This window comes from Homo sapiens, chromosome 4 (assembly GCF_000001405.40).
Source record: "Homo sapiens chromosome 4, GRCh38.p14 Primary Assembly".
In the NCBI taxonomy this organism is placed as follows: Eukaryota; Metazoa; Chordata; class Mammalia; order Primates; family Hominidae; genus Homo; species Homo sapiens.
In genome coordinates, this window is record NC_000004.12 from 40,472,523 (window position 1) to 40,493,147 (window position 20,625).

Here is a 20,625-nt window from a genome sequence, read left to right on the forward strand (position 1 = left end):
TTGCACCCCAGCCTGGGCAACAAGAGTGATGCTCTGTCTCAAAAAAAAAAAAAAAAAATCATGTTTTTCTTCAAATGCTATTGATACATTCCATAGGACTAAAATGAAAAAAATGGAATGAAAAAGAATCACTTTCATACTTTCATTTCTGGCATTTCTGGAAAGCATGAATTCTAGTAAGTGTAATATATATATAAACAAGTATAGAATTTAGCCCACTGGTAAGGTATCATTTATGGATTTTTTTTTTAAACTCAAATGTTTTTCACTGCTTGGCAGAATAAAGGAGCTCTCAAAGGAAACCAGATAATTTGGATTTATCCCCTTTTATAGTTTTTGCCATGTGACAGCAAATCAGCTAAAGAAAAAAGATAGCATCTAAAAGAGTGCTAGACTTGAAATGGAGGAATTTTATAAGCTTCCCCATGACATTCAAAAGAAATGCATCCTGAAACATTCCCAAATCACCTTATCCTATGCCACATCCAACGATGTCCCTCATGAAATGAACACAGCCAAGACCAAGTCTAAACCAAATTGAGATGGTATATGTGGTAGGCTAGGTGAACTCACAACCTAAGTAACATAATAATATTAATAATAGTAATGACCATCAACATTCATTGAATGTTTATCATGCACCAGGTATGGCACTAAGCATTCCACATACATCGTCTTATTTAATCATTGCTACAACCTCATGAAGCAAGATCTATGATGCTACTCATTCTGGAGATGCCAGAACTGAGGTATAATGAGGCTGCCCATTTGTTAAGGTCCCTTAGCTGGAAGTGAAGAAGCTGGGGTTCAAACCCCAGGCCTTCTATGGAAGAATCCAATTGCTGCTGCACTCCAATCTGGAAGAGTAGAAAACTGAAATCTGTGCTATAACAAAAATGACAAATGATTCTATATGCATTATATATTACAGCTTCAGAGTCAACATGAGGAGTTAAACCTGAATGGCAAATTCATGAATTGTTAAGGCCTACCAGGTAGGAATTTTTTCAAGAACCCCAATATTCAGCTTTAAACAGTAAATGATATTCTCAACCTAGGTTAGAAATATAGATAGGAGTTCAACTTTTTGGGTGACGAATAGAGAATATCAGATAGGCATAAATATCATGGGCTCAGAAATATCTGGTGTTCTGACTTGTTTCCTAGCTTCTTAAAAAACTATCACACTTTAGAAAGTTTTTGAGGACTCAGAGACCCCACAAAATGAGTAAACAAAACTGCAATTTCACTTTCTACTGCTTAGTTAATAATCTCTAATCAGACAGTTGTTTCCTGCTAACACCTAACAAAATTATCCACCTCTTTCAAATAGCAAAGAAAATGAACATACTAACATTCTTACAGTGGAAATATAATTTTACAAATAAACACAAATTACTGAATCTTTACATATGATTCACAGATGGTGGTGATGAGATTATCATGCCCCTCCCCACTCCGTCTTTGTGCACTGACATTTGACCCTTTTTATAATATGCACCTTGTACCAGTGAAACCTAAGGCACCAGTTAGTTACTCATTAAACTTGGGTGCTGAGGGCTGACTTGTACAAATTACGCTGTTAACTGCCCAGCCTGGCCTCTGTGCAGAAGTGGAAAAAAGCAATCATCATAGCTGTGAAATTCTGTCATATCGGCAGAATTGAACTACAAATTGCAGCAATTCGTACCTGACCTCTGATCTGTGAAGTTAGTCTAAACCTTTGAACCTTAGCTTGGAACCGAGAAGCAGCACTGACTTATACAGGACAAGGTGGCTAGCAAGCGTTCTCCATCGTGAATAGTTAACACTGTGACTGTTGGTCGCCCCCCACACCCACCTCCCCCACAGAGTCATCCAGAGTAAAAGACACAAATAACGATGATCTTGAGAATGGCAGACGTCTTACAAAAAGGCATTTGGAACAAATCTAATACAAGTATACAATTTCAGGATGCAAGTCTTTTTAAATGAATATGTCAAAATAAGAAAATGGAATCTGCAATAACTGAAATTCTTGGATATTTAATACTTTGTGATATGTACATTAAAAAATTTCCTTTACAAATTAGACCAAAGTAGAGTTCAAAATGAAATATTTAAATACATTTTTAATCAAATGGTGCCATCTCTCATTTGTCACATTTTAAAATAAACATATTACCTAATCTCTGTTATAAAATACAAACCCATATTAAGCCACCTTTGGCAAAAAGCAATCAGGGAAAACCAGTTACACTTTTCTTTGAACCCAAACTTATCTTTTGACACTAAATATCAGATGTAGGCTAATAAAAAGTATAAGAATATGCATTTCTCACATATACATTTTGTTGCAACATTGATTCATCATAATGAGAAGGGAGAAGGGTTAAGAGAGAAGAGTATTTTTCTTTAAAAGATTAGCTTCTACTTCAAATGCTATTCAAATTGCTCCACTGCCAGACAGAAATGACTAAAGATTCTACTTCTCTGGTCATTTGAGTTAATATTAAAACAAATTTTGAATAGCATATAAAATATAACTAAACAATTATTTATAATGAAAGTGAAACTAATGTTAATACTTTAAAGCATATAATCTACACCTAAATAATTCCATTTCATAAATTTAACTATTGGTTTGAAAACAATGATAAAAGTCTTCTTATACAAGAACTTTACTCTGAGAGGAAATGTCATCATTGTCAACCTTTATATGCTAATTATCATAAAGCTAATTCCATTAATTTTTCCTTATTTTAATTATCACATCTTAAAATTATAATTTCCTTCTCTAAACACTGACTCTGAAATGGCTTTAAAAATCAAATATGGGCAACACTGCTGATAAATTCCTGCTTCTTACCCCATAGTTTAAATAACAGGAAACTATAAAACAACAACAATACTGTGAAGATCTAGATTTTTCAAGCATATAAAGTGAAAAGCTGTTAGAAAAACTCATTTTTTAGAAAATGTTTTTAACTTAAGAATTTTGGTTTTACTGCTGGTAAGGCAGACTGTGCAGCAGTTGAAATTCTTACCAACTTCCAAATTTTTTTGGGGGGGTCTTCAATTAAAAAACAAACAATATGGATCATTTGTTTATCTGGTCTGATCTAAATTGCTTTAACCAAACACAGTTACCTCTTCTTCTCTTCATTTAAAACAAATAAGGTTTCCCCTACCTTTCCAATCTTGATCTGGGTGCGACAGGCTAACTGTAATGAAAGCTTTGCTTAAGCAACCTTCGCTCCCAATACCAGGAGCTGTGTAACTCTGTTATACATGGCACAGGGCTCCTCATTGGTCAACGAAATGAGCTTTGGCCACTTAATGCCTTGGGAGTCATTTGCTAAGGGCACCTGGAATGAGCTTGAGTGGGTGGTACAGAAAGAAGGGAGGTGTTAAAACTGCCACAAAGATAATGCTCAACAGCAACCTGAAACGGAATGGAAACCCTACTGTAACTGATGGATTTGGGGAAGGCTCAAAAGCTTTGCCACTTCATAGAGGACATTTAACAGAAATATTTTATTCAAACCCAAATAACGACCGTAAGGAAACAAATGATTTTTCAAAGTCCACCATCCTAGAACCAGATAGATGCCCATTACATTTGTACAGCTACATGCAGAGATAAAAAACAATAATGCCCACCTTGTCTAGGCTGTTGGGATTAAATAAATAAATATACGTAAAGTGTTTAGAAAAGCTCCTGGCATATAGAAAGTACTCAAAAAGTGTTACTAGGATTTCTTAGAAATGTTATATTTTTAGCAAGTGTTGCTTTTTCCCCTTCTCATTATATCTGGGGTAGGTAACTTTGGTTAAGTACCCTGTGTCTAAAAGACTGTCAACAATCATGTTTATGATGATCAGTCTGGGAGAAAAAAAATAGGAAAAAATTACACATGAACCAAACCCTCACCTTATTTTACTTTATCAGTTTGGAGCTAGAAATTGATTTACTCATAAGAAGTGGAGACAAGTAGAAGAGGCATAGAATGAAAGAGAAGCAGGCAGTACAGCAGGATTTATGGTAATAAAACCATCTGTACACAACAACAGATCAGGAGGACCTGAGGCACTTAAGCTGAGTAAATACACTCCTTTTCAGGCAGTTATGGGATGGAACCTCATCGAAAGTCTCTCTGGAGGCTGAGTTTGTCAGTTCAGGCAATTGGGAGGTTAGAGGAAAAGGGAGCTGAAGTTGCCTGGAGGAGGTCCTGAAAGCAATGTGACTTCTGTGTCCTCTGCATCAGGATTAAAGTGAGCTCTGCAGCACATCAAGAGAGGAAGGAGAAACTAACTCCTCCTAAAACAAAAATTTCAAAAAAATGTGGTCCCCAGTTTTCCCTGAGTCATCACTGTATCATTGTTAAGCTTATTCAGTTAAACCTTAGTAACTGGAAGGAGCCAGAGTTGGAAGTAAAAAGACCAGAATGGGCCGGGTGTGGTGGCTCATGCCTGTCATCCCAGCACTTTGGGAGGCGGAGGCGGGTGGATCACTTGAGGTCAGAAGTTCGAGACTCGGGCGTGGTGGTGGGCTCCTGTAATCCCAACTACTCGGAAGGCTGAGGCATGAGAATCGCTAGAACCTGGGAGGCGGAGGTTGCAGTGAGCCAAGATGGCGCCACTGCACTCCAGCCTGGGCAACACAGTGAGACTCCGTCTCGAAAAACAAACAAACAAAAACGGCCAGAATGACGACAAGAACATTTTCAATCTATTCATCTACGCATATATTTTTTAAAAAGACAGTTTTATTACTCCTAGATAGAATAATAGCTATCGACAGTGACTATAAATTATCAACAAGTTAACATAGGGTCAAAATCCAAAACAAGTCTAAGATTATAACTATGTTAAATATTATATAAAACTAAATCGCTATGTTCTGGCTGAAGGAACTCTGAAGCAGTCAGTTACTAAGGCAGTGTTTTCAAAATCTACTGATTTCAGACAAATTTAAATTCCTCTCGACTACAAATGGGACTCAGAAAGTCTGTTTTTCTATAAGAGTAATTTAGTATATTATATAAGAAAAAGTTCTGGCATGTTTTAAGCATTAGAGAGTATTCTGAGATTGAGGTTTGGTGTGAGTGTGTGCACGTGTGCTCCTATACCAAATGCTACCAAAAAATAACTTAGGCAAAAACATAGGAAATAAACCATCTCAGGATGATGAATTTTAAGACTAAGGGGGTAAGGAGAGAGCAATTTTTCACTGAATACCTGAAAACAACAATTACAATTATGGGCTGCCCTAAATAAAAAATGAGCAAATTTTTCCTGCCTTGGCTTTGAACAAAGTTAATTTAAAAAATACATGCACATAAACATACTAGTTTTAACAAACTCAAAAAATATAGAAAAGTACACAGAAAAAGCAAGTCACCCCTTCTACTGATAGTAAAAGTGGCTCCTACTACACAGCCCTCTGTATAGGCACGTGTGCATCACAGTAGAAAAGTCATGCCACATGAGCCATGTGGCATGTTCTTTTTTTTTTTTTTTTTTTTTTTGAGACAGAGTTTTGCTCTTATTACCCAGGCTGGAGTGCAGTGGCGCGATCTTGGCTCACCGCAACCTCCGCCTCCTGGGTTCAAGCGATTCTCCTGCCTCAGCCTCCCGAGTAGCTGGGATTACAGCCATGCGCCACCACGCCCGGATAATTTTGTATTTTTAGTAGAGACGGGGTTTCACCATGTTGGTCAGGCTGGTCTTGAACTCCCGACCTCAGGTGATCCACCTGCCTCAGCCTCCCAAAGTGCTGGGATTATAGGCCTGAGCCACCACACCCGGTCACATTAACTTCTGTATAGCTCTGGCTTGCAACAAGCTTAAATCATCCCTGGAGGAGTGATCCTTTGTCTTTTACAAAGCATCTTTGATTTAGAGTAGAGTGACAGCAGGCAGTTCTGAGGTCTGAGGCTGTGGAGAAAAGGAAAAAAAAGTACAGACGCAAAACAGAAGCCTGGGATGAGATAAGCTCTGAGGTAGATTTGGAAAAAGGGGTAAGAAACAGGACTCAGGTCCAGGAGAGGAAGAAATGGAGCATAGTAAGACATGATTATGTGGCCTATTTCAGATAGGATCTATTAAGGCCACTGTGGCATCCTGGTAAGAGAGTTATTATTATTAGTTATTACTTTCTTATTTTTAGAGACAGGTCTTGCTATGTTACCCAGGCTGGTCTCGAAATGCTAGGCTCAAGTGATCTGCCTGCCTTGGCCTCTCAAAATGCTGAGATTAGACATGAACCCCCATGCCCAGCCTACTTTTTAGTTTAATTATCTAAAAGCTAAGATATAGCCAATGCAAAGATTATGTGTGTATTTGCTTTTGTATATAGTAGTAGCATATCATTTTCCACAAGTATATTTGACACTATTTAGAATTTCAAGCCTTTGCTGAAACTGTTTATTGTATTAACACATGACTAAAGCATAAAAGAAATTGCACATATGTGTGCGCATAGACATTCAGATGGTAGCCTTCACCTGAAAAGGTGTCAAACACTGATAATGAAATCACATAACTGTATTGGTGGTATCAGCAATAATAGTTGGCTAAGAAGCTAATTAACCAGTATTGAAAAACAGATGAAGTATAAAGCAGTATCCACAAGCCTATATGATTAAAGCACCATAGTATTTTCTTTCGGTTAATTTGTCTATTATCCTATTATAGCATCAACAGTCACAGAGAAGGAAGAATTAAACAATGGACATTGTCATATCTGAAATGAGTGTTCCTTATCTGGACATTAGGAAGGATCTGTGGGCTGTCCTTTTAAAATTTAAAATGGTAGGCTGGATACAGTGGCTCATGCCTATAATCCCAGCACTTTGGGAGGCCAGGACAGGAGGATTGCTTGAGCCCAGGAGTTCAGGACCAGCCTGGGGAACATAGTGAGACCCCATCTCTACAAATAATAAAAAAATTAGCAGGGCATGGTGACATATGCCTGTGGTCCCAGCTACTCGGGAAAATTGCTTGTTTGAGCCTGGGAGGTTGAGGCTGCAGTGAGCCATGACTGCATCACTGCATTCCAGACTGGATGACAGAGTGAGATCCTGTCTCAAAAATAAATAAATAAATAAATAAATATATAAATATAAATAAAATGGTACCTTCTCAATTGGCATCCTTGGTTTATTTACTCATTTTTGTTTTGTGATAGAGTCTAGCTATGTTGCTCAGGCTGGTCTAGAACTCCTGGGCTCAAGCGATCCTCCTCCCTCAGCCTCCTAAGTAGCTGGGACTACAGCTGCACCATTGTGCCCAGAGGTACAACTGTTTTAAAGATTAAAATTATTCATCACATCCACCTGTAATAAAATAACTATAGCTAACTCCTACATACAGCCCTTGTCCTTCACCAGGCACTGTTCTAAGTGTTTCGCATATATTAACACAGGCAACCCCCATACATAGGTTGAGGCAGGTACTAGTATCATCTCCATTTTTTTTTTTTTTTTTTTGAGACGGAGTCTTATTCTTGTTGCCCAGGCTGGAATGCAATTCTGTGATCTCAGCTCACTGCGACCTCCACCTCTCAGGTTCAAGTGATTCTCCTGCCTCAGCCTCCTGAGTAGCTGGGATTACAGGTGTCCGCCACCATGCCTGACTAATTTTTGTATTTTCAGTAGAAACAGGGTTTCACTACGTTGGTCAGGCTGGTCTCGAACTCCTGACCTCAGGTGATCCATCTGCCTCGGCCTCCCAAAGTGTTAGGATTACAGCCGTGAGCCACGCGCTCAGCCTCATCTCCATTTTATAGATGAGAAAACAAGAAATAAAGTAATTGGTCCAAGACCAACAGCCAGCAAATAAGTAGTGGAGTGAGGATTCAAACCCAGGCATTCTGGCTCTTAGAGATCACACTTTACCGCCTCAAGCTAAGTAGATAATCTTCTTTCTTTCCTCCTAATTAGCTACCTCTCTACCTACCTACCCATGTTTCACCTTGCTGCTCTGTCAGCCTGCCAGGGACAGGAACTTCTGTACTAACCCAGAAAAACTTTGGAACTTTGAGATGGCATCTTTGGAGCTAAGTAGGAAACCCTTTAATGTTCAATGAATGAAACCATAAGTTAAGAAAGCCACAAAATCTAATTTGAATCTAAAGAGAATTCTCTTTGCATTTTCTCTCTAAGCCCTTCCTCTACCCGAGGCAGCACTCTTCATTAATTCTTAGAAACCTGCTAGATTTTATGGCGATCCCTTTCTGTCTGTCCCTCTAACACAGCAAAATGTAGCATCTGATAAGCTAAGTAATTATTAGTATTTACCTAATAGATTCTGTGGTAGTTTTAACAGACTTCTTAATCTTAAAAAGAGAAAGTTCAGAATACATATTGAATGCTGGTGGAGAGAAGACACCTATTACCAAGTCACATATCATGTGTAACATTATAGCCCTTTCTTCCACTTGTGCTAAGGAAAAGCCAGCTACATTGTCATAATATGAAAAGTAGATATATTTCCTCCTGAGCCAGGAGGAACAAGGCAGTCAGGTTAACAAGGGCTCAGGAAGTGTGTGGTTTTGCCAAGTATTTTGTGAGTTTTACTCTTTAATAATCAAATGATATTTTAATAATTTCCTCAAAATTGCCACAAAAATCCCCTAACATTCTGGATTTATCAAGTACTATGCTCTTCCATTTCAACTGGTGTTTAAGTAGCACTTTCTATAATATCCCGAGATGTACTCAAGCCCTGGGGAAGTGCAGTCAAAGACCTGGATCATATGTTGTTTCTTTCTTTTTTTTTTTTTTGAGATGGAGTCTCACTCTGTCACCCAGGCTGGAGTGCAGCGGCGTGACCTTGGCTCACTGTAACATCTGCCTCCCAGGTTCAAGCAATTCTCCTGCCTCAGCCTCCAGAGTAGCTGGGACTACAGGTGAATGTCACCATTCCCTGCTAATTTTTGTATTATTATTATTATTATTATTATTATTATTATTATTATTATTTTTATTTTTATTTTTGAGATGTACTCAAGCCCTGGGGAAGTGCAGTCAAAGACCTGGATCATGATGTGGCTTTTTTTTTTTTTGACGGAGTCTCGCTCTGTTGCCCAGGCTAGAGTGCAGTGGCATGATCTCAGCTCACTGCAACCTCTGCCTCCCAGGTTCAAGCAATTCTCCTGCTTCAGCCTCTAGAGTAACCGGGATTACAGGTGTGCGCCACCATGCCCAGCTAATTTTTATATTTTTGGTAGAGACAGGGTTTTGCCATGTTGGCCAGGCTGGTCTTAAACTCCTGACCTCAAGCGATCCGCCCGCCTTGGTCTTCCAAAGTGTTGGGATTACAGGCGTGAGCCTCCGCATCCAGCCTTTTTGTATTTTTAATAGAGATGGAGTTTCGCCATGTTGGCCACGCTGGTCTCGAACTCCTGACCTCAGGCGATCCACCGGCCTCAACCTCCCAAAGTACTTGTGATTACAGGCATGTGCCACTGCGCCCGGCCATGATGTGGTTTCTATTAAATTACAGGTGTGAGCCACCGTACCTGGCCATGATGTGATTTCTATTAACTGGGAGCTAATAATCCTCTTGGAGAGATCATTAAATGTCTGATAATTACAACATATAGAATACACAGAAATGGAACAGCATGTGCTATCCAGACAATGGGAGCCACCACAATCAGGTGAAGAGTATTGCTAAGACAGATCAGAGTCCATGGGGAAAGCTTCCTGGAGGAGGTATAACTAGCCTGCATTCCCTTTTTTATCTTATTTTTTTAATTTTTTGAGACAGGGTCTCACTGTGTCACCCAAGCTGGAGCACAGTGGCGCGATCTCAGCTCACTACAACCTCCGCCTCCCCGGTTCAAGCCATTTTCCCACCTCAGCCTCCCAAGTAGCTGGGACTACATGTTCATGCTACCACACCCGGCTAATTTTTGTATTTTTAGTAGAGGTGGGGTTTCACCATGTTGGCCAGGCTCGTCTTGAACTCCTGACCTCAGGTAATCCACCTGCCTCTGCTTTCCAAAGTGCCGGGATTACAGGTGTAAGCACCTGGCCTAGCCTGCATTCTTATTTACAATTGCATCAGGTTACAAACAGAGGCAATCACAAAATCCTACACTTCAAAATATGTATTCTCTGTATTTGTTTACTTTGTGATTTAAAAAGTAAAACACCTCTTTCCTGAAGAATGTTCCTTATTTCAAGAATTGAGTATTCCTAAAATTGGAATAAACCTTAGACATATTTTATAATCAGCCAAGAAACGGAAATTTTTCAGGAGCTTGATAAGCTAGCAAGTAACTAAATGAGTTATGTGGAGTCTAAAAATCTTTGAAAATTTTTCTTCTTAAGACCTTGTGGTTCAGTTCTTATTTAAGCCTAGTTACCTGTTCAACATATTATTTTACCACTTTGAAAAGGGAGCTCTTATTTTTTGAAAAATAAAAGTAGATATTCTAAAGAAATTTGAAAGCAATATGGAAATAATTGAAATCATTCGAAAAAAATCAAACACTAAAACTTTAGCTGCGATGGATCTATAAATACTGGTTACGCTATTAATGATTACAGGTGAAATTAGAAACACGAGAACATCTTTAAAAGGTCAACTCCAAGGCTGATCAGTTTAGACGGGATGCTAAAATTAGCGAGGAGTATAAGCTCAGGAAAAAGAACAACATAAAATGCTAGTGAAGCAAATCGTTTCGACACAATGAGCCTGATTTTCCATGAGCAAATGGTAACTTGGCAAGGCATTCAATTTTGAATTGGTTGCAAGAGTCACTCAATCGTTCAACAATGGCTATTGATCCTACTATGCGTGGCTTTGTTCTAGACCCCGAAGATTGGATGGTGACAGGCAGAGGAGTCCCTGAAGAACAGAACAACAAGAAAGGGGCGGGGTAGCGGAAGCAGAGGGAGCGAGACAGGCAGGGGTCAGATGGGAGCGTTATAACACCCAGGAGAGGACTTCAAGTTCTCCTTGGCTGATTGGAGGATTCTGAGCAGAGAAGCGCTGTGATCTGCTTTTCTGTTTTTTAAGATCACTGGTGTGCAGCCGGGTGCATTGGCTCACGCCGGTAATCCCAGCTACTCGGGAAGCTGAGACAGGAGAATTGCTTGAACCCGGGAGTCAGAGGTTGCAGTGAGCTGAGATTGTGCCACTGGACTCCAGCCTGGGTGACAGAGCAAGACTCCATCTCAAAAGAACAAAAATACAATACAATACAGTACAATACAATACACTATCATTTTTTAATCAACCAATAAAATTAGCTAAAATACTTAATAGTGATTAAGTGTCACACTTCAGTAAAACAAGTATGAAAGCATCAAAACCCTTCTAAAAAAGAAATTGCATAGTGTATTTGAAGAGCCTGGAAATGTTTATTCTTTTTACTTAGCAATGATGTTATTATAAATCTATCCTTAAGAAATAAGAAAAAAAGCATGTTTACATCCAAAGATATTTATCTCAGAATTCTTTATAATACATTGAGAAACAATCCTTATAGGAATGGTTAAATAAATGGTGACACACCAGCCACTAAAAATTACATTTATGAAGAATTTAATGTCATGAGTAAAGGTTCACAATATGTGAGCTTAAGAAAAAAGAGAGTAGAGAAAACTTTATGTAGGGTACAATTTCTACTGATATTATAGTAATCAAATGTAGAAAAATATAACAAAATATTGACAGTGGTCGTCTCTGGAGAGTAAGAATATGAATATGGGTGATTAAAATACATATGTAACACATGTATGTTAAATATCTGTAACATATATGACTTTGATCAGCAAAATTTTAATGATTTGATAAAACGAACCTATTTGTTCTGTCCCTCATTCTCTCCATTTCGACCCATCATTACATTCTGCCAATTCCTTTCTTTTCCTTTCTTCCTGATTTAGTTCAGCACTAACCATGCACAACCTCCCACCCCCACCCATTGGGTTTCCTAGCTGACACCTTTCCCTGCTAACCATCCTGAAAGCAGTAGGATGAACCATTTTCCTTAGGTATGGTTGGGATCATGTTACTCCCATGAAGGGAATTTGAGGTGATCCTTGGTCATCCATAACATTGCAGGCTTTTGATCATGAGCTGCAAATCTCTGGTTAACTTATGATGACAAATCACTGCATAATTTCCCTTTGTTCCCTTCAACCTCAACAGATACACAGCTACACACAAAATCTCCAAGACTACCTTCCTTCCTTCTCTATCTACCAGATTCTTATTTTCCTTTGTAACTCTCTTCTAGAATCACCTTCCTCCAAAAGGATTTTTTTTATCCAGGTATCTATCTTTCTCAACACAACTTTACTCACTGCCACACCACTTCAGCATTTCTTCTTTTCTAGATATTTGGCAATTGTGTATTTGTCATTTGGGATCAAATTTGATTCCTGTTTCATCACAACATTGCCTAAACAGCAATGCTTCTGATTCTACATTTGAAAATTAAAGCTTATACACAAAGTTTAAGATTGTCTCTTTTTTTTTGTTTGTTTTCTTTTTCTTTTTTGTTTTTGTTAAGACTGTCTCTTGTAAAAAATGTTTGCACAGTTGTCATATGTTTGCATGACAAGCTGATCATGGTTCCTTACAAAGTATACCCAAGGTATTTGCTCTCAACCTTTTCTCACCACCCAGTGCACACACACAGAAATTCACTAACATGGGTGCTCAATAATTGTTATTGACAAGAATTCCAAACAGTTGGTCAAATGACTTTTTACTTACAACATGGAGCCATAAGTCATAAGATAATTTAATTTATGAAGAATCAATATGAAATAAAGACTTAAAGCTCAATCTTGTTACCTGTTTGGTGAACAACTCTGGAAAGTCAGGATAAAGGAAAGCCAAGTCGACAGCTGCTTTATCTAAGCAGTAAGAATATGCAGATGGGACCCTCTTCTGTTCTCCTACCATGTTTGTTCCAGGATTCCAATTTGAAATCTGTATGTGCCCCTTGACACCTCAATGCTTTGTCAAGCACCTCATTTCTCTGGCTTTAGTTTTATAGACAAAGAAACCAAATACATGGTGATGGAGCAGCTTATCACAGTATGTTTTTAGAAACACCAATGCTAAAATTACCAGTCCCCAAGTGTCAGGTGAAATTACTATAAGAATTAAGTGAGAATTACTTTGATCTAAAGTATTAATGAAAATGGTAGTGTCAGTCATGATTCTGGATAATTACTCAAATAGACAATTTTAAAAATTGGGACAACACATTAATATGAGAATATACTGTTATAAAGAGAAAATAGGCCGGGTAGGGTGGCTCACTCATGTAATCCTAGCATTTTGGGAGGCTGAGGTGGGCGGATTGCTTGAGTCCAGGAGTTTGAGACCAGCCTGGGCAACATGGCAAAAGGCCATCTGTGTAAAAAAAAAAAAAAAAATACAAACATTAGCTAGGCATGGTGGCATGCGCCTGTAGTCCCAACTACTTGGGGGTGTGAGGTGGGAGAACTGCTTGAGCCCGGAAGCTCCAACTGTAGTGAGCCATATTTGGACCACTGCATTCTAGCTTGGACAACAGAGCAAAACCCTGTTTCAAAAAAAAAAAAAAAAAAAAAAAAAAAAGAGCTTAGTGTGAAGAGTTTAGAAACTAAATACAGTAGCTAAGGAAGAAACTGATTATTTATCTGAATTTCAAATTGAACTAAACATTGGTCCCAATCACTCTTCCTTTTTCCAAGAACTGAGCATTAAATGGAATTTTAAAACATTTATTAAAACAAAATCAAAGACAAACTACAATTAGGAGTGTGTCATTAAAGAGCCAATTTCCTTAATATGCCAGAGTGCTTCCGTATCAACAAAAAAATACAACACAATACATACGAGCAAAGATATCAGCAGGCAGTTTGCAGAAAAACAAGATTCTATGATGAATAAACATGAAAATAGTTCAACTCTATTCAAATCAAACTTTGTCTGATTAAAATAGATAGAAATCGAAACAGTGAGTCCTACTATATCAGCAAAAATTTTTAAATTTGGGCTGGGTGTGGTGGCTCATGCCTGTAATCCCAGTACTTTAGGAGGCCAAAGTGGGTGATGACTTGAGGTCAGGAGTTCGAGACCAGACTGGTCAATATGGTGAAACCCCATCACAGATTTAAATGGAAGTTGTAAAATCTTACCCCCAGTAGAGGATCTTTAGAGGAAATGGGGTGAGGGTTGGGTAGAGGGCACATGGATTGAGCAACCTTGACTGTGATTCCCATAAATTTAGAAGTTCAGGCAGGAGGACTTCCCCCATGTAACTATGATTCAACAGAGCACACATCCTGTTTAATAACAAAGGCATTTATGCAACATTCATTCTATGTCTCTGGGTAATTTATATGTTGCTTGATCTTGGTAATGTGCAAACATTTTTAGCCAGTTCTTAACTGTCAGGTGATCTCTGATTGTTGCTGTTTTCTATAGTTGTTGTCTAGACACTCACAAGGATTCAGGTTTATTTTGGATCCTAAAGTCAAGGCCAGTATTTCTTTAAGACTTACTTAAACTGGAAGAGTCCTAAGATTTCAGTAGCCACAAAAAATTATTCTCTGTGCTCCCCCAAGAGGGACAGACACAATGAGCAACCTTAGGATGGTCAAGGGTCATCTGTTAGCTCTTTTAGACTCAGTGGAGCCTTCATGGGGATTGGCAGATGGAACCGAAAGCAACAAAAAAGACCCCAAAGGAATTGGCATCTTGGGAACTCAGATTTCCTCAAGGACTCCTCCATCTGATGATGTTGGTAATTTCAGCTCTACATCATCATTTCTTTTCTTTTCTTTTTTTAAAGATGGAGTCTCACTCGGTCGCCCAGGCTGGAGTGCAGTGGCGCGATCTCGGCTCACTGCAAACTCCACCTCCCAGGTTCAAGTGATTTTCCTGCCTCCTGAGTAGCTGGGTCTACAGGTGTGCACAACCATGCCCAGCTAATTTTTGTATTTTTTAGTAGAGACAGGGTTTCACCTGGTTAGTCAGGCTGGTCTTGAACTCCTGACCTCAAGTGATCCACCCACCTTGGCCTCCCAAATTGTTGGGATAACAGGCGTCAGCCCCCATGCTTGGCCTCATCATTTCTTTTTTTATCAAAAACCAGACAGTCAACTAGGCACCCCTCTGTGCTCACCTTTCACGTCCTGGCATAACACTTCGTAAGCATAGCTACACAAAGAATAAGAATGGCAAGCCCCAAGTATGAAGAGATAAATCAAATTTAATTGTTATTAATATATTATTGATTATTCACACTAAATTTAGTCTTCCAAAAAAATAAATCTACTTGGATAAAATTCATGTTGATGGATAGACCAAAGAAAGCTGGTTATCAATTTATATGCTAATGAATTTTTCTTACTTTTCCCCTATGTATAGCCTAGTATTTTGTAATTTCTCTGCACCTACAGGGCCAGAGGAGGGAAAAAAACGGAACGCACATCCTTTCTGTTCTTTAGTGAAGCTTTTGATGAAAGGGATTAATAAGAGTTAGGGGTGAGGGAAAGAAAGAAAGAGAGAGAGAGGCTGGGCACGGTGGCTCACACCTGTAATCCCAGCACTCTGGGAGGCCAAGGCAGGTGGATCACCTGAGATCAGGAGTTCAAGACCAGCCTGGCCAACATGGTGAAACCCAGCCTCTACTACAAAATTAGCCAGTGTAGTGGTGCGCACCTGTAATCGCCACTACTCAGGAGGCTGAGGCACAAGAATCACTTGAACCCGGGAGGCAGAGGCTGCAGTGAGCAGAGGTTGCAGTGAGCCGAGATTGTACAACTGCACTCCAGCCTAGGTGACAGAGCGAGACTCTGTCTCAAAAGAAAAAAAAAAGGGTGGGGGGGAAGGGGGAGAACTTGAGACGCTATAAAATGAAAATTAGAACTTTTCAGTGCGCACCATTTTCATAATTTATGGTACTTCCACCCCAAGCATGCCTCAAATTTGTTTAGGAAAATATTTTCTTCTCATACCTTCATTTGTTCTCATATCATCATTGTAATATGGGTGGATGATCAAATAAGCAAGGCCGGCAATTGGTCTGAGAAAAGAGCTCATTTGGAAATAACATCCTGAGCTTTGCAACCGCAAGTGAGAAGTGTATCTCAGCACCTGGTAGCAAATGCAGGTGAGGTCCACCCTGGTAGTACATACAGGAGAGTTCATAGATGGTTGGCAAAGAGGTACAAACTAATGGAAACACAACAACAAGCTCTGTAGCTACTTTACATGGAGTTGACTCAGCAAAGGCCCATCTGACCTAACAACAACAACCAGATTAGAATAGTTAATCTTTATTGAACAGTTGTTACCACCAGTTCTGGGTGCTTCACATATGCTATTTCATTTAATCCTCACGACAATCCTATGAGGTACTAATTATCTTTCTGCTATTTTGCAGATGTGGAGACTGAGGCTTACAAAGATTAAATAAGTGTTCAAAGTCTCACAACTATTAGGTGGCAGATGTAGAACTCATATCCAGGTTCCCAAACCCCAGAGCCCAAGTTTTTGCCCCAGAATCACAATGCTATATGGACTGCACCATAATGAAACAGCTGTGTCAACTGTACTCTGTATGCCCCCCTCATGTATTCAGTTGCCCTGTAACTCTGTCCCCAAAGGAGAAAGTTTGCATGCCCTGACTGTTTCAGCATTGGTCACTCATACTCACAAACTGTCCTGTAAAATGGAGCTTGGGGGAATGGAGATAACAGTTAAAATACAGTAAACAATCTAAGCTTTCAGTTTAAGAAGCCAGAAAAAAGAAGGGCAAAATAAATCTGAAACAGATTAAGGAAGGAAATAATAATGATTTAGGTGGGAATAAAGCAAATACGGACTATAAAAACAAAATAAAAGTTAATAAAACCAAAAGTTGGTTCTTTGAAAAGAGCAACAACATTGACAAACCACTAGCTAGAATGACAAAGAAATGAAAAGACTCAACTTACTAAACTCAGGGATAAGAGAAGTGACAACACTACTGACCTTCTAGAAATAAAAAGGATAGCAAAGAAATACTATGAACAATTATATGCCAGCAAATTAGATAACCTACATGTAGAGGAGAAATTCCTAGAAAGATGCAAAGGGCCAAAATAGACTCAAGAAGAAATAGAATATCTGAATAGACTTATAAGTAAATACACTGAATTTGTAACATAAAAATTTTCCACAAAGAAAAGCCCAAGAACAGATGACTTCTCTGGAGGATTCTATCAAATGTTTTAAAGTCTAATTACCACCAATCCTTCACAAATTCTTCCAAAAAACAGAAGGGACTAGAACACTTCCCACTGAGGCCAGTATTACATGCATAGAAAATACAGACAAAGTTATCAGAAAATGACAAATCAATATGTCTTATGCATATGGACTTTTTAAAAATACACAACTAAATACTAATAAACTGAATTCAGCAACATGACCAAGTCTGATTTAACCCAGAAATGCAAGATAGCTTAACAGATGAAAATCAATCAGTGCAATACACCATATCAACAAAAGACAAAAACTATACACAGTAATCTGAATAGCTGCCAGAAAAGCATTTGATACAATGCACCAACCCTTCATAACTAAAACACAACATATTAAAGCAGAAGGGAACTTCTTCAATCTGATAAATAACATCTACAAAAAACCCATGACTAATACACTTAATGTGAAAAAGACTGAATGCTCTCCCCATGAAGAACAGCAACAAGGATTTGCACTCTCTCAACTTCTATATGCAACATTGTACTTGTTTCTAGCCAGGATAAATAGAAAAAAAGGAAAAAGAAAAAAAAAGAAAGAAAGGGGATCCATATGGGAAAGGAAGAAATAAAACTCTGTTCATAGATGACGTAGTCAATTACATGTAAAAAACCTAAGGAATCCATTAAAAAATTATTAGAACTAATAATCAAGTTCAACAAGGTTGCAGGACATAAAAGCAATATAGAAAAATCAATTATAAATTTCTATCTACTAGCAATGAACAAACTAAAATATAAAATTAACAAAGCAATTTCATCTACAATAGCATCAAAAATAATACAAGTGTTAAAACTACAAAACATTGTTCAAAGAAATCAAAGATCTAGGCCATCTATTAAAAATACAAAAATTAGCCGGGCGTGGTGGCGCCTGGCCGAGACATAAGAATCACTTGAACCCGGGAGGCGGAGGTTGCAGTGAGGAGAGATCGCGCCACTGCACTCCAGCCTGACAAGTGAGACTCTGTCTCAAAAAAAAAAGAGAGAAAAAAAATCTAAATAAATGGAAAGACACTGCTTGTTCATGAATAGAAGACTGAACGCTGCTAAAATGACAATACTCCTCGATCTGATCTACAGAGTCAACACAATATTCCCATCAAAATCTCAGCTAGTTTCTGGGAAAAAAAATTGATAAATGGATACTAAAATTCCTACAGAAATTCAAGGGGCCCAGAATAGCCAAAACAAACTTGAAAAAGAAGAACAAAGCTCAAGGACTCACCCTTCCAGGTTTCAAAATTTACTACAAAGCTACAGTAAACGAGACAGTGTATAGGGTGCAGAAATCTTAGGGGAAAACCATAAGGTGCGGGGAGGGTGGGCAGCGTGGTACTGGCATAAGGATGGCCATAGGACAATAGATTCGAAATGAGAGTTCAGGGAAAAAACCCAAAACATGTATCTGTGGTCAATCGATTCCGGACAAGGGTGCCAAGACTATTTGATGGGAATAGTCTTTTGAAGAAATTATGCTTTAATAACTGGATACGCACAATGCAAAAGAATAGAGTTGGACCCCTAATTCATATCATATACAAAAATTAAATCATTATAGATCAACCACCTCATAAGAGCTAAAACTGTAAAACTCTTGGAAGAAAACATGGGTATAAATCTTCATGACCTTAGCTCAGGTAGGCAGCAGCCTTTTAGATATGATACCTTTCAAATATGATAAACACAGCAATAAAAGAAAAAATAATGAAATTGTCCTTTGTCAAAATGGGAAGCTTTATTTCTCAAAGGACACCATTAAGAAAGGAAAGACAACTTACAAAATGAGAGAAAATATTTGCAGATGTATATTTGATAATAGCCTTGTATCTAGAATATATAAAGAACTCCTACAACTCAATAATGAATAAGACAAATAACCCAACTTAAAGATAGGTAAAGAGTCTGAACAGACATTTCTCTAAAGCTACACACACTCTTTGGTCTCAGCTGCAGAAGCCAAATGACAAAGAGAACGTCATCGTCTGGAAAGCATCGCAATAAGATGCACACGATGTGCCACCGCTGTGGCTCTGAAGCCTACCACCTTCAGAAGTCAACCTGTGGCAAATGTGGCTACATTGCCAAGTGCAAGAGAAAGTGTAACTGAAGTATCAAGGCTAAAAGTTGAAACACCACCAGGACTGATCATATGGGGCGCCTAAAAATTGCACACTGCAGATTCAGGCATGGATTCTGTGAAAGAACAACACATAAACCCAAGAAGGCAGCTATTGCAACATCCAGCTTATCTCACGAATTTCAGTGATTAGTCATGCCATAAAGGTTCTGGTTTAAAACCTGAACTGAAAAAAGGCTAGGCACGGTGGCTCACGCCTGTAATCCCAGCACTTTGGGAGGCAGAGATAGGCAGATCACTTGAGCTCAGGAGTTCGAGACCAGCCTGGGCAACATGGCGAAACCTCATCTCTATGAAAAATACAAAAACATAGCCAGGCCTGGGGGTATGCGCCTGTAGTCCCAGCTACTTCGGAGGCTGAGGTGGGAGAATCACTTGAGCCCCCGAGGTTGAGGCTGCAGTGATTGTGCCACTGCACTCCAGCCTGGGTGACAGAGCGAGACCCTGTGTCCAAAAAAAAGTAAAGAAAAGAAAAAAATAATGAAGTCACACTTTGCGAGAGTGGGAGAAGTATGGCAGATGCTGCCACTTATTACCCTCCACTTCAGAAGGGCACATTTCAAAGGCTCCCATGACACCTCTCCTGTTCCGATCATTGTTTCCAAGGAACAAAGCTCAGGCATGCACCTGTGGATGCCATGATGTCCATGTTCCATGTTCTCCACTAATTTCACTTCAGACTAGAACCTTATCACTAAAAACCTCACCATGCAGAATTATCTTACAGAGAAGTTTCCTTATGACACAATTTTTATGTCCCAATGGCTGCCTGGCTTTGTGTCCCAGCTCTTTGTTCTCACAGTGAATAGCTTTCCAAGAAAATGCTTCCCTGGTCCCTGTTCACTCAGCACTCCCATCATGACCTGTGTGTGTGTGTGTGTGTGTACGCGCACACACGAGTGTGCAGTGTGATGAGGATGGGAATCAGGGGGCTGGAGCATTGCTTAACTGAGCAATGCATAATTAGCCTCCCTTCCCAGCCTCAGCAGGCAGCAACTCCCCTGCATCTTCCCCTTCTGCTTCCCCTCCTCCATCACCCTCATTATCTCAATGTTGCTTTCCAATATTCCCAAGCAACCAAGCTAAACAAAGCAAACATTAAGCAAAGAAGACAGAAAGAAAACAGGCTTTGGAGTGTGGCACAGAGAAGCTCAAAAACTAGCCCTGTCATTTTCCACTTAGGAACCCCAGGCAAGCCTACGATGTCAACTTTGTCAAATGAAGATCACATAATAC

General features: G+C 39.1%; 1 protein-coding gene and 1 pseudogene across 40 annotated transcripts in view, besides 1 other annotated feature; one reads left to right on the forward strand and one right to left on the reverse strand.

Annotated features, from left to right (window-relative positions):
* Positions 1 to 20,625, reverse strand: part of RBM47 (RNA binding motif protein 47) — a 207,573-nt gene that overhangs the window by 49,243 nt on the left and 137,705 nt on the right. For 2 of the 40 annotated variants that reach the window (XM_047415815.1, XM_005248109.5), the window contains exon 1: positions 3,171 to 3,240. The exons of the other annotated variants lie outside the window; for them this stretch is intronic. The gene's annotated coding sequence lies outside the window, so the exon portion shown is untranslated. Of the gene's footprint in view, positions 1 to 3,170; positions 3,241 to 20,625 lie in introns of those variants that run through there. 40 annotated transcript variants of the gene reach the window in all.
* Positions 10,470 to 11,006: an enhancer, noted in NCBI's record as "OCT4-NANOG hESC enhancer chr4:40485009-40485545 (GRCh37/hg19 assembly coordinates)". NCBI's record gives its function as "activates a minimal SCP1, AML or CMV promoter by ChIP-STARR-seq in naive H9 embryonic stem cells {active_cell/tissue: H9 hESC(naive)}" and the evidence as "EXISTENCE:reporter gene assay evidence [ECO:0000049][PMID:30033119]".
* RPL37P14 (ribosomal protein L37 pseudogene 14) lies at positions 19,213 to 19,503 on the forward strand (annotated as a pseudogene).